The sequence below is a fragment of the Homo sapiens genome, chromosome 6, assembly GCF_000001405.40.
Source record: "Homo sapiens chromosome 6, GRCh38.p14 Primary Assembly".
NCBI lineage: Eukaryota > Metazoa > Chordata > Mammalia > Primates > Hominidae > Homo > Homo sapiens.
Genome location: NC_000006.12, coordinates 56,935,208 through 56,949,535, shown reverse-complemented (window position 1 = coordinate 56,949,535; position 14,328 = coordinate 56,935,208). Strand labels below are relative to the sequence as shown.

At 38.1% G+C, this 14,328-nt stretch overlaps 1 protein-coding gene and 1 pseudogene across 4 annotated transcripts in view, besides 1 other annotated feature; one reads left to right on the top strand and one right to left on the bottom strand.

The window, feature by feature from the left end:
- The window catches only part of DST (dystonin), a 496,835-nt gene that overhangs the window by 5,295 nt on the left and 477,212 nt on the right, over nt 1-14,328 (top strand). The gene's annotated exons all lie outside the window — the stretch shown is intronic.
- Nucleotides 3,694-3,806, bottom strand: RNU6-626P (RNA, U6 small nuclear 626, pseudogene; annotated as a pseudogene).
- Nucleotides 9,938-11,137: an enhancer, noted in NCBI's record as "P300/CBP strongly-dependent group 1 enhancer chr6:56803197-56804396 (GRCh37/hg19 assembly coordinates)". NCBI's record gives its function as "activates an origin of replication core promoter dependent on BRD2, BRD4, P300/CBP, MED14 and CDK7 cofactors, with strong dependence on P300/CBP, by STARR-seq in HCT116 cells {active_cell/tissue: HCT116}" and the evidence as "EXISTENCE:reporter gene assay evidence [ECO:0000049][PMID:35650434]".

Sequence of the window (14,328 nt, the reverse complement as noted above, 5' to 3'; positions counted from 1 at the left end):
TGACAGTTCCTTCTAGGTCACTCCCAATGTCAGTGCTGAAATTTTATAGTTACTGGTTTTTTCTGTTATGCTAACTGAACTGCTGTGCCGTTTCCAACTATGAATCACAAATGCAATGAGAGCATCGGAGGCTGCTGTGTAAAAGTGTACAGCCAATACATATGTAAAAAAGACAAATTAATCCTATTCACAGAGTTTATCATACCAGAGTCAACACTACCATATAATTAACGCTGACTTTAGCTACATGGTGACAAAACACAAAAACAAAACAACAAAAACAAACAAACAAAAACTCTCACTTTTTTTCATGCATCCAAGCCAATTAAATTCATCTAGATTAGAATTGAAACAAAATATTTTCCAGAGAAGTTTGCATCTTTATGTAATCTTAAGGCTCAAGAATGACTCTCTTTGAGATCTGGATGGCAAAATGGAACTAGGGTAATAACAATAATTATTGGCATAATGTAAGGATTATAAGAATATGAGTTCAAAATTCTGGTTTTGGGTTCTAGCTCTGCCACAAACTAACTGTGTCACCTTGGTCAAGTCTCTTTTGTCACTGATACTTAGATTTTGTATTATGACTGGTAATGTGAGAATGATCTCTGATCCCCTTCCAGAAGTAATAGGCCAAGTATCTACTACATACAAAGTGTCATGCTGTAGAGGCACCATGAAAACATGATTCCTGTCTTCTAGGTGCTTAAGGCAGGTAAAGAAAAAAGCATCATTAGCGTAAATACCAAGTAACAAATTATGTATAGAAAAGGAATGGTTGGAATAGTTCTGGTGAAATGGTTGCTTCTAGCTCAAGTGGTTAGAGAAGCCTTCCAAGAGGAGTGATATTTATGCTGAAGCCTGAAGGTTGTATGGTAAGTACAGTAGTCCCCTCTTCTGTGTGGTTTTGCTTTTCATGGCTTCAGTTACCCGTGGCCAACTGTGGTGTGAAAATATTGAGTGGAAAATTACAGAAATAAAGGATTCATAAGTTTGAAATTGCGTGCCACTCTGAGTAGCCCGATGGAACCCTGAGCTGCCCTGCTCCAATCCCACTTTGTCCTGCCCAACATGTGAATCATCCCTTAGTCTAGCAAATACATACTTTATACTCTGGCCATCTCAGTTATCAGGTTTACCGTCAACTGTATTGCCACACTTGTGTTCAAGTCACCCTTATTTTACTTAATAATGGCCCCATAGTGCAAGAGTAGTGATGCTGGCAATTCAGATATGCCAAAGAGAAGCCACAAAATGCTTCCTTAAAGTGAAAAGGTAAAACTTCTTGACTTAGTAAGGAAAGGAAAAAAAAATCGTATGCTGAAGCTTCTGAGATATACCACAAGAATGAATCTTCTATCTGTGAAATTGTGAAGAAGGAAAAAGAAATTCCTGATAGTTTTGCTGTCACACTTTAAACTGTAAAAGTTATGGCCACAGGGCATGATGAGTGCTTAGTTAGGATGGAAAAGACATTAAATATGTGGGTGGAAGACATGAATAGAAAACATATTCTGATTGATGGCAATGTGTTGCATCAGATTTACTTAATTAAATTACACTTTATCATAGGTGTGTTTGTATAGGAAAAAAACATAGTATGTATAGGGTTTAGTACTATTCATGGTTTAAGGCATCCACTGGGGTCTTGGAATGGATCTGTGGTGGATAAGTGGGGTCCACTGTACCTGAGTAGATTCAGAGAAATGAGAGCAAAATCCCAGGTTGGTATAAGGGCATGAGGATAGACAAGATTTAGGAAAGCACATGCCTGTTTTCAGAGCTTGGTGTACACCAGTATGGTTAGAGAAAGGGACTCTTGAGATTGCATAAAGGAATATAGTGCTGGAAGTAGACATAAGTGTCAGCTATAATAAAAATGATTCGTGTATACTACATGACAGTTGACAAAAGGCTTTGACATAACATTATTTTATTTGAACACTTTAGGAGGGCATCTGCTGTGAGTCCTCTTAAGAGAAGCAGGCTGGGCGTGGTGGCTCACGCCTGTAATTCCAGAACTTTGGGAGGCTGAGGTGGGTGAATCACAAGATCAGGAGATGGAGAACATCCTGGTCAACATGGTGAAACCCCGTCTTTACTAAAATACAAAAATTAGCTGGGTGTGGTGGCGCACGCCTGTAGTCCTAGCTACTCGGGAGGCTGAGGCAGAAGAATCGTTTGAACCTGGGAGGTGGAGGTTGCAGTGAGCCAAGATCGTGCCACTGCACTCCAGCCTGGTGAAAGAGCAAGATTCTGTCTCAGAAAAAAAAAAAAAAAAAGAGAGAGTAGCAAAAAATCACCATTTGATTTCTTTTCCAGCAACTATAACAAAACCGTCCAATCACTCTTCTTTCACCCAGGGAGAACAAAGAGTTATGGCCTCTGCTGCAGAGGGCCTTGGAAAATGGCCAGTTGGGGGCCTTTCTGGTGACCCCGAGGCTGAGTTTTTGATGGGTACCATATTTTTGAGGTCCAAGGATCAGCATCATTGGGTTATATTCTGACTGCAGACACCATCTCTCCAGGGATTTATGGGAACTTGCTCATGTGTTTAGTGTGGTCATTACAAATTTTAATATGAAGTATAATAAATTTGCAGGTAATTCATTATGTAAAAGACCTTTTTATTGACTGAAATACATTAAAGTTTTTGAAAGTATTTGAAATGTATGTAGCAACTTTTCAACTTCTTCCTTTAAAATTTCTCTCCTATAATAATTATTCCTAAATGTTTACCCTCCTATGAAATCCTCAGGCCTACTCCCTTACCTTCAGCCAGTGACTTTTTATCTCCTGACTCACAATTAATGTATCAAGTAATAGCTCCTTAAACTTATTGCACCTACGAACTAACTGGCATCTTAGCCTTCCTTCCCAGTCCAATGAAAAATTCATCTGTCGTCCACACTGATATTTTATGCTTATGTTGTGAATTCTTTTCTTCCCATCTTGGGGGATATTCTATTAGTCATCCCCTCCTTCTTTATCCTCAATTGCTCCTTCTCTGCTGGCTCCTTTCCCTTACCTATAAACATCATATGTGCTTCCTATTGGAAATAACAGCAACAGCACAAAACCTCCCTATGTCACCAACTCTTCTCTTGACAAGAAAAGTTTCCTGAAAAAGCTTCTTTGTTACCTTCTATTCCTCACCTCTCACTTATTCCTCAATTTAATCTGGCTTCTGCTGCTACTATTTAGAACCACTCACACTTAGGTCACCAATGATTTCCAAATTGATATATTGATTGTTTCAGTCTTTAATTTAGTTGATCTATCCAGTATTTGATACTATTGGCCACTGATTCCTTCTTGATATTTCCTTCCTGGTTTCTAGACAACACCCTCTTAATCCCCTGCCCCTTTCTGGCCCTGGCTCTCTCTGTTTCTGCACTGAATCCTCTTCCTACTTATAACTTGATATTCCCTGTCTTGGGCCTACTTAAAAGAAGAAAACAGCTTTATTGAGATATAATTTACGTACCATACAGTTCACCCATTTAAGTGTATAATTAAGTGGTTTTTGGTATATTCACAAGGTTGTGCAACCATCATCACAATTTAATTTTAGAACATTTTCATCACCCCCAAAATAAACCTATACCCATTAGCAATTATTCCCTATTCCCCTCCTTCCTTCATCCTTTACCTATAGGCAGCCACTAATCTTCATTCTTTTTTTTTTTTAAATATGGAATGCTTCACAAATTTATATTTCAGTGTTTCATCCTTGTGCAGGGGCCATGCTAATCTTCTCTGTATCTTTCCAATTTTCATATATGTGCTGCCCAACCAAGCACTACTTTCTGGCAATAGGTTTGCTGGGCCTCATTTTTGCTTATTTAGATTTTACTTGTGGGATCTCACCATACTCACTGTTTTAGTTTATCCCCATATCATGGTTACTCTGAAATCTGCCTATCAAATTTAGACCTCACTTTTGATCTCTAGGTTCAGAGTCACCTGCTTTTTCCTCATTTTCCCATAGATGTCCCATTGGCATCTCAAACTGAACATGTGCAAAACTGAATCATCAGTCTTTTACCACATCTTATGCATCTATTTTGGAGAATGGCAATATTCTCACATCCAGTCCCCAAACCCCTGCAGTTTTTCAAACTAGGAATATAGAAGATAGAATAGATGGCTCCCTCATCCATCCTGTCCCATCTGTCTTCTCTTTTAAATATCTCTGGACTCTGCCTTTCGTTGTATTCCCATTGCTGTTTCTTTGGTTCAAGCCCTATAATAAGCCTCTGGACAAGTCTCTCTGCATCCCCTTCCCCAACTCATCCACACCAATTTAATAAAGATCATTTGAAAATACAAATTAATTATTAAAACTTCTATAAGTTATGGAGACATTCAGATTTAAGTAATAGAAAACCCAACTTAAAATGGGTTATTAATAAACAGGGATTTCTATTCTCTCATAACAAGAAGGCTAGAGATGGCCACAGGCTTTGCTTGAGCAGTTCTACCATGTCATTTTCAGTATATTTGGGATAATCTTGTCATTCTCTTGTGGTTGGAGAATGGTTGGCACAGTTACAGATATGGTGTCTAAATTCAAGGAAGGAAGGAAGGGAAGGGGCAGAGCCAGCCATGGTTATTTATCAGAAAATCTGAATATTTGCCAGAAGACTTTTCAGTTAGATTTCTGCTTACCCTTCACTGGCCAGAACTGTCACAGGCCATCTGTCACTATAAAGGAGGCTTGGGATGTGAGGTTTTATCTTTTCTAGTGTCTGTAGTAGAGGTAGGCAAGGGAGAAAGAGTTGGGGAATGCATATTTCTCCCCTACTTAAAATCCTTCAGTAGCTTCCCACTTCTTTCAAGATCATAAAGTTCATTCTTAGTATAATGTCAAAGGGTTCCTTGTACTGATGTCCTGTGATAGGTCGAGTCTACCATTTGTCCACACTTCTTATAATTCTTCAAACAGACCATGATCTTTTAGGATTATTGTTTTTGTCCATGTTATTTCCAACTAAGAAAGCCTCTTTCTATTTCTTTCCTCTCTTTTCTCATACACCTCCAACAAAAACAAAAATACTCAAAACAAAAAAAAAGGGTAACTCTTGCTCTTTCTTGAAAGTCCAGTTCATAAGTTATCTCCTTAGGGAAACTTTCATGACTCCCGCCTCGTAGTAACAATTTAGTGTTTTTTTTTTGTTATTGTGAGACTCTTAAAGGCAGTCTAAAACCCCAGTTCTTAGTTTAGAATCTGACACATAGTGAAGCTCAGTAAATGTTGGATGAATGAATGAATATTTGAAGTTTTCTACAAGTCAGTTTCATTCTCAATTCTCATGAATTTGCTAACTTCCCCAAATATCCTGTATCCCTCTTTTCCTTAAGGGGAAAGAGACAGATACTTTTCATATTGTATCTTATTTTTATTTATTTATTTGAGACAGGGTCTCTCTCTGTTGCCCAGGCTGGAGTACAGTGGCGTGATCTCAGCTCACTGCAACCTCTGCCTCCTGGGTTCAAGTGATTCTCCTGCCTCAGCTGCCCGAGTAGCTGGGATTACAGGCACTCACCACCACGCCCAGCTAATTTTTATATTTTTAGTAGAGACAAGATTTCACCATGTTGGCCAGGTTGGTCTCAAACTCCTGACTTCAAGTGATCCACCCACTTTGGTCTCCCAAAGTGCTGGGATTACATGCGTGAGCCACTCTGCCTGGCCCCGTATTTTATTTTAGACATATAGTTATACCTTACTTATGTCTTACCCTGTGTTTACTTCATGGATACACAGATCAGACACTTTAGAAAATGAGTTGAAATTGGCTGGGCGCGGTGGCTCATGCCTGTAATCCCAGCACTTTGGGAGGCCGAGGAGGGCAAATCACCTGAGGTTGGGAGTTTGAGATCAGCCTGACCAACATAGAGAAACCCCTTCTCTACTAAAAATACAAAATCAGCCAGGTGTGGTGGCGGGCCCCCTGTAATCCCAGCTACTTGGGAGGCTGAGGTGGGAGAGTCACTTGAGCCTGGGAGGTGGAGGTTACGGTGAGCTGAGCTGAGATCGTGCCATTGCACTCCAGCCTGGGCAACAAGAGTGAAAATCTATCTCAAAAAAAAAAAAAAGAAAAAGAAAAAGAAAATGAGTTGAAAATATCCCTGACTTTTTTTTTTTTAATTTAAAGGACTTTCATCCTTTGAGAGTTTTAAATCAAAGTTTGATATTTAATGTTTGTATTTCAATTTGTAATCTAAAAATAATTCTGAATTATTTCGTAACCATTTTACCTTATAACCAGTACTGTCATCCAATTCCAGTTCCTGAATTTGTGTTTTACTTACAGTCACATTAGTGCCAAGTGGTATTGCTTTAACTGTCATAAGCTTAAAAGGAAAGATTTGAGGCAATTTTTATGTATAATTTATGCATTAATGCCAAATGAGAGCCAAATGCTGTGCTTTGGTAATCTGTTTAACTGATTTTGAGAAATGTGGTGGTATATTTGAATAAAGAGCGTCAGAAATGGCAAATATTGGACCGGATATGGTAGCTCATGCCTGTAATCCCAGCACTTTGGGAGGCAGATGCGGGAGAATTGCTTGAGCTCAGGAATTCGAGACCGGCCTGGGCAATATAGCAAAACCTTGTCTATACAAAAAATAATTTAAAAATTTTGTCGGGCATGGTGATGTGCTCCTATAGTCCTAACTACTTGGGAGGCTGAGGCGGCTGACTGCTTTTAAGCCCAGGAGTTCGAAGCTACAGTGAGCCGTGATCATACCACTGCACTCTAGCCTGGGCAGCAGAGCAAGGCCCTATCTCTTAAAAAAAAAAAAAAAAAAAAAAAAAGAGAAATGGCAAATATTAGAGTAAATATAAAGCACAAATTATAACATTGTCCTGTGGGGTGTATAAAATATATAGATGTTTGACACCTTTAGTGTAAAGAATGGCAGGGGAGTAATGGAATTCCTATACATTTGCAAAGTTTCTACATTTTATGTGAAGTGGCATATTAACTTAGGTAGAATGAAAAGTTAAGGATGCATATTTTAACTCTCAGAGCAACTAATTAAAAAAAGGAAACCCAAGAGATAAACCCAACTAGAACTTCTAAAACATATCCAAATGACCTGAAGAAGGCAAGAAAAAGGGAACACAGGAACGAAAAACCAGGAGAGACAGATTGAAAATAAATAATAAAATAATAGACCTAAATCTAATAATATCAATAATTACATTAAATATTAATGGGCCAAACACTCCAATTATGAGACATAGATGAACAGAATCAATAAATAGCAGGGCCTAACTATATGCTATTTACAAGAAATTCACTTTAAGTATAAAGACATAGACTGAAAGTGAATGGATGGAGAAAATATAAATGATGCAAACAATAATCATAAGAAGATTAGAGTGGCTATATTAATATTAGGTAAAGTAGATAATCAAGGCAAATGGTATTAACAGAGACAAAGAGGGATGTTCCGCAATGATGAAAGGACCAATCATTCTGGAAGACATTATCATAAATGTGTATCTAACTAATATAAACCTAACCTCAAAAGGTATGACATAAACATTTCAAAAGTAAAGGCGGAATTAGACAATGCTGTAATCATAGTTGGTGATCAACAGAGTTTATAAGCATACCTCTTTCAGCAATTGATAGAACATCCACACAGAAAATCAGTAAAAACGTAGGTAAAGAGCTAAACAACTCTACCAACTATCTTGACCTAACTGATACTTCTAGAAACACCACACTCATTGGCCAGGCACGGTGGCTCATGCCTATAATGATAACACTTTGGGAGGCCGAGGTAGTAGGATCATTTGAGCCCAGGAGTTTGAGACCAGCCTGGGCAACATGACAAATCCCTGTCTCTCCAAAAATACAAAAATTAGCCAAGCTTAGTGGCATGCACTGTAGTCCCAACTACTTGGGAGGCTAAGGTGGGATGATTGATTAAGTCTAAGTGGGTGAAGTTGTGGTGAACCATGATAGCACCATTGCACTGCAGCCTGGGTGACAGAGTGAGACCCTGTCTTAAAATGAATAAATAAATATTTGTAAAGAAACACCATACTTACATGACTCATTCACGAAGACAGACTATATTCTGGGTCAGAATACAAGTCACAATTAATTTAAAGGATTGAAATAATACAGATTATATAGGAATCAGTAATATCTCCAAGAAAATCTCAAATATTTATAAATTAAATAACATTCTTCTAAATAATTCATGTATCAATAAGGAAACCATAAAGGAAATTTAAAAATATTTTAAACTAAATGATAATGAAAACACAGTATCTCAAAATTGTGGGGTGCAGCCAAAGCAGTGCTCAGAGGGAAACATATAGCTTTAACTGCTTATCTTAGAAAAGAAGGAAAGTCTAAAATCAATTAACAAAGCTTCAACCTTGAGAAGTTGGAGAGGGTGTTGGGGGGAAAAGCAAACTAAACACAAAATAAGTAGAAAGAAGGACATAATAAAGGTAAGAGCAAACATGGATATAATTGAGAAGAGAAAACCAAATTAGACTCTTAGATGAACAAAGTTTATAAACTTGTAGCTAGACTGATCAAATCACTGGTATGACAAATGAAAGAGAGGGTATAACTATGGAACCCACAGACATTAGAAGGGTAAGAAAACTGGTTGCAGTGGCTCATGCCTCTAATCTCAGCATTTTGGGAGGCTGACGGGGGAGGATCACTTGAGCCCAGGAGTTCAAGACCAGTCTTGGCAACACAATGAGATCCCAACTCTCCAAAAAGAGAAAAAAAAGAAAAAAAAAAGCCAGGCACGGTGGCTTGCGCCTGCAGTCCCAGCTACTCCAGAGGCTGAGGTGGGAGGATCTCTTGAGCCCAGGAGGTCAAGGTTGTAGTGAGCTGTGATTGCGCCACTGCACTCCGCCCTGGGTGACAGCAAGACCCTGTCTCAAAATAAAGTAAATAAAAAGAAAAAAAAAAGGATAAGAGAATATACTGTACAACTTGATGCCCACAGAAGTGACAAATTAGATTAAATGGATTTTTTTTGAAAAATATAATATTAACATTGCTACAAAAATGTAAAACTAAGATGGCTTATTATTATGAAATTACTTTGTGGATTCCTAAAAGAGTCTTGTGGTCCAGAGGTTTATGGACCACATTTTGAGAATTGCTGCTTTAGATGGGTGCAATTTATTTTATGTACCTTGTATCTCAGTGAAGTTGGTTAAGAAATATATATGTACATATTTTTATATATATCCATAAAAATATATTGCATAAAAATGTGTGTGTGTATATATGTATATATGTGTGTGTGTGTGTGTGTGTGTGTGTGTGTGTGTGTGTGTGTGTATGGGGGTAATGTGGAATTTATTTTACTTTAAGAAGTTTCTGTCATTTTGAGTGTATAAAACATTACCTGACAGTATATTTAAGACTATGACATTTTTGATAGTATGATTGAAACTTTTTTTTATTCCACTTCTGCTAGACTTATTTATATAAAATTTTTTTTTTTGAGACGGAGTCTTGCTCTGTCACGCAGGCTGGAGTGCAGTGGCACGATCTCGGCTCACTGCAACCTCCACCTCCCTGGTTCAAGCGATTCTCCTGCCTGAGCCTCCTGAGTAGGTGGGATTACAGGTGCCCGCCACCACACCTGGCTAATTTTTTGTAGTTTTAGTAGAGACAGGGTTTCATCATGTTGGCCAGGCTGGTCTTGAACTCCTGACCTCAAGTGATCCAGCCGCCTCGGCCTCCCAAAGTGCTGGGATTACAGGCGTGAGCCACCACGCCCGGCTGCTTATTTATATAATTTTTATTGGAAGAGTAATCTATAGACATCTATAAAAATAAAATAAATATAAAAAAGAAATAAAAAAATGCAAAAACAGTGAAAATGGTTTGACCAACTTAAAAGGACAGCAGAAAATTTAGAAGGAAAGCCTAGATATAAGGGGAACTTTCTAATCTTTATGTAAGTAATTTTTCTTATCGATTTATGTTTATCTGTAGCTCTTTATTTATCTATCCCCCCATCTGTTCATTCACGTATCCATCCATTCATCCAACCATCCTTCCTCCTTGTGCATATTGTATCATGCCTTAGAACTACTCTCATACCAAGATCTTGAATTCTGCCATGTCCTTCTCTGATCATACCTGCTTCTGTCTCTGGACCTTATTGTGAGCTCTTAATGAGTTTCCTTCTTACCTTCGTCAGGACCAAAATCTTCTTTGGGGGTCAGTCTGTCATTACCTTCTTATTTAATGTCACTTGGCAGTCTGCTCACTATAGACCCTTGGACCAACAGTTTTGAGAAACTTTGTTATTCTCACTTCACTCATGCAATTAATTAGTCCTTCTGCCACAGTGACTTTGCCAACTCTCAGACTTGGTGACTGCTTTTCTGTTCTTGTGCCTGGGAGGCATATCCTTATTGGACAACTTCACAAAACTCAACCATTTGATTCATTATGCTGTCTAGCAGTCATCACTGCCCCTTTGTAGTGTATCAATTAGCTGCTTCTTTGTAACCATTTAAAACTTAGTAACTTAGACATTAATCATTTATCTCACAATTCCGTGGGTTGGTGATCTGGGCTGTGCCCAGTTGGGCACTTGGTCTGGTCTGAGTCAGGCTTGGCTCATCACAGCTGGAAGTCACCCAGGTATCTTTGATGAGCTCTGGCTGACTCATGGTTTTCCTCTGCATGGTCTCTCCTCTTCCAGTAAGCCAACTCAGGCTGGTTCACATGTGGTTAGGTTTGGGTTCCAAAAGCAGCAAGAGTGGAAGTGCATGAGGCCTCTTGAAGTCTGGAATCTGGGCTTGTACAGTGCCTCTGCTGACACATTGTTTTGGCCAAAGCAAGTCACAGTGGGTAGAGAAGAGTCCTGATAGGAGGAGTTACATAGTATTGTGGCCATTTTTGCAATCTACCGTAGGTAATCTTTTGATTTATTTTTGGTTTGCTACTGTCTGCTATCCCTAAAGTACTCATGGTAAGCTTTTTCTGTTTTTTTCCCTGGACAGTCTTTTCCAATTTCTTGGCTTTCATATGTATGGAAATTACTTCTACCAGACGTTTTTAGGCCCAACTTAGTTTTTCAAAAATTTCAGACTGGGTGCTGTGGCTCATACTTGTAATCCCAGTGCTTTGGGAGGCTGAGACGGGAGGGTTGCTTGAGGACAGGAGTTCAAGACCAGTCTGGGCAACATAGTGAAACAAAAAATAAAAAAATTAGCTGGGCATGATGGTATGCACCTGTTGTCCCAGTTACTCAGGAAGCTGAGATAAGGAGGATCACTTGAGCCCAGGAGTTTGAGGCTGCAGTGAGCTATGATCATGCCACTGCATTCCAGCATAGGCAACAGAGCAAGAATCTATCTCAAAAAAATTTTTTTTTAAACATATATATATATATATATATATAGAGAGAGAGAGAGAGAGAGAGAGAGAAAGAGAGAGAGAGGTGTAATTTCTAGTTTTAGAATATTTTTCGTCATCCCCAAAAGATTTCTCATGCCTGTTTGCAGTCAATCTCTGTTCCAATCCCTAACCCCATGCTGCTTTCAGTATCTATAGATAGTGCCTCTCCTGGACATTGCATATAAGTAGAATCATATAATATGTAGTCTTTCACATCTGGCTTCTTTCATGTAGCTTAAGGTTTTTGAGATTTGTCCATGTTGTAGTATGTATCAGTAGTTTGTTCATTTTTATTGCTGAATAGTATTTCATTCTGTGAATATACCATACTTGATTTATCCATTTACCATTGATGGACATTGGCGCTTCTCCCTAATGATTAGCTATTACAAATAGCACCGCTGTGAATATGTGCTTAAAACCATTGTGTGGACATATATTTTCATTTCTCTTGGGCAGATACCTAGGAGTAAAATTGCTAGGTTGTATGGTAAGTTTAATTTTTAAAGAAATTCTCCAGTTGTTTTTTTAAATGGCTGTACAATTTAATATTCTCATCAGCAGTGTATGTGGGGTCCAGTATCTTGACATCCTTGGCAATACTTGTTACTGTCTTTTTTACTATAGCTATTCTATTGGATATGTAGTGATAGCTCCGAGGTTTGATTTGCATTTCCCTAAAGACTAATGATGTTGAGCATCTTTTCACATGCTTTTTAGCTATTCATATATCTTCTCTGGTGAAGTGTTCAAATCTTTTGTCCATTGTAAAATTGATTTTTTTTTCTTATTGAATTTTAAGAGTTCTTTATACATTCTGGATACAAATTCTTTAATAGATACATAGTTTGCCTATTTTTATGGTCTGTGGTTTCTCTTTTCATTTACTTAATGGTGTCTTTTTAAGTGCAAAGTTAAAAAATTTTAATAAGTCCAATTTATCAATTATTTTTCTTTATGGATTATACTTTGGTGTCATTTCTAGGAATTGTTTGCCTCATCCAAGATAATAAAATAAGTTTCCTGCTGCTTTTTTTTCAAGGCAATTTAGTTTTGGTTCTTACATATAGTTTTAGTTTTTCTGTGTTTTTTGAGTTTGTAAATTGCTGGTATTAGTTTTTTAAAAATATTTGGAATATTTCACCAGTGAACCCATTTGGAGCTGGTGTTTTCTCTGTGGGAAGATAATTTTAAGTTGTTAATTCCACTTCTTTACTTTTATGTGCCTATTCAGATTACTTTTCTTCTTGAGTCACTTTGGTAATTTTTGCCTTTCTAAATGGTTCATTTCATCTAAGTTATCTAGTTTGTTGGCCTAAAGTTGTTTCTGGTATTCTCTTCTGCTCTTTTTAATTCTGTATGGTTGATAGTACTTTCGGATTCCCTTTTTGTTTGTCTAGCCAAAAAGTTGGGGCTTTTGTTATCCTGTCCTGTTGCACACTTCTGTGACCGCACTTGCATCCAGGAAGGAAGATAAAAACCAAACGTAAAGGAATAGGAGTTTGCCCTGCCTGTGGTATTGTTTAGGGGCTGTGAGAAAAGAAAAAAAAATGAGTGATTTCTGTACTTTCTCTGAGTCTTAAGAATTGTCCTTCTCACCTCGCTACCCAGAATTAGGGCACTTTTTCTGGAGCTCTGTATCTGAACATCAGTACCCATTTCTGGGTTTCAGGCTGCACTGCTGCATTGCATTCGGTCTGGAGAATAATGGAGGTCAAAAATGGCAAACTCACCACTGGTTTTCATATACTTTGAATTTTGGCCTTTTTACTTCAATTGGCCTGCTGCTGTTTACGTTTCAGAATCCTCAAGTAGCTGCTCAATGCATTCTATTCAGTTTTACAGCTGCGTTCAATGAGAGACATGCTTATTCTACTTTATTGTAAATGGGAACACGAACTGACTTTAACTAGTCTGTCCTCCATCCACTTCAAGCTTGTTACTTTTCTCTTTTTATTTATTTACCCTTTAGAAAATCTTGTAGGATTTTGACAGTTGGTAAGATGATGCTGGTAGAGATGTGTATTGCTACATATAACTCATGAAATACTGAAGATTCCATTTATTTTACCATTATACAAATTTTTTAGGAATCAAACATCAATAGATTATTCATTTTGGAAAAGTTTCTTTTCTTATTTTTTTGGTCCAATCTCATTATTCTTTTTGTTTTTCTTTTTTCTCTTTTTGAGACAGAGTCTCGTTCTGTCACCAGGCTGGAGTGCAGTGGTGTGATCTCGGCTCACTGCAACCTCTGCCTCCCGGGTTCAAGCAATTCTCCTGCCTCAGCCTCCTGAGTAGCTGGGACTACAGGCACGCACCACCATGCCCAGCTAATTTTTGTATTTTAGTAGAGACGGGTTTTCACCATGTTGGCCAGGATGGTCTCGATCTCTTGACCTCGTGATCCGCCCACTTTGGCCTCCCAAAGTGCTGGGATTACAGGTGTGAGCTACCGTGCCCGGCAATCTCATTATTCTTTATATTTTCTGCATTTGTCTCCAACTTCTGTACATAAAATAGATTGAGGTTAAAGAACTACTTGCAGATTTTAAAGAAAACAATATGTATCACTTCATATTTACTGATGAGTTTACAAAGAGTAGAAATTTCACATTAAGAAGTAATTAAGCAGTAGACCATTAACAAGTTTTAAATAACTAACTGACCAACTTTGAAGAATCATTAAAAGAACATTAAATAGTATATTCCTGCTACTGCCCACTCTGCAGTGAGCTGCACGCAGCAGGCAGCAGGCAGTTGCGAGCATTTCAGACTGATCTAGAGTGTGACTGCCTCTTGTTTTAAAAACGGTTGTGGGGCATCCCAAAGTGAATCCCAAATACATTCTTAATTGTTTAGACTCTCTTGAAATATTTGGATTACCTAGCTGTATGTCTGAATC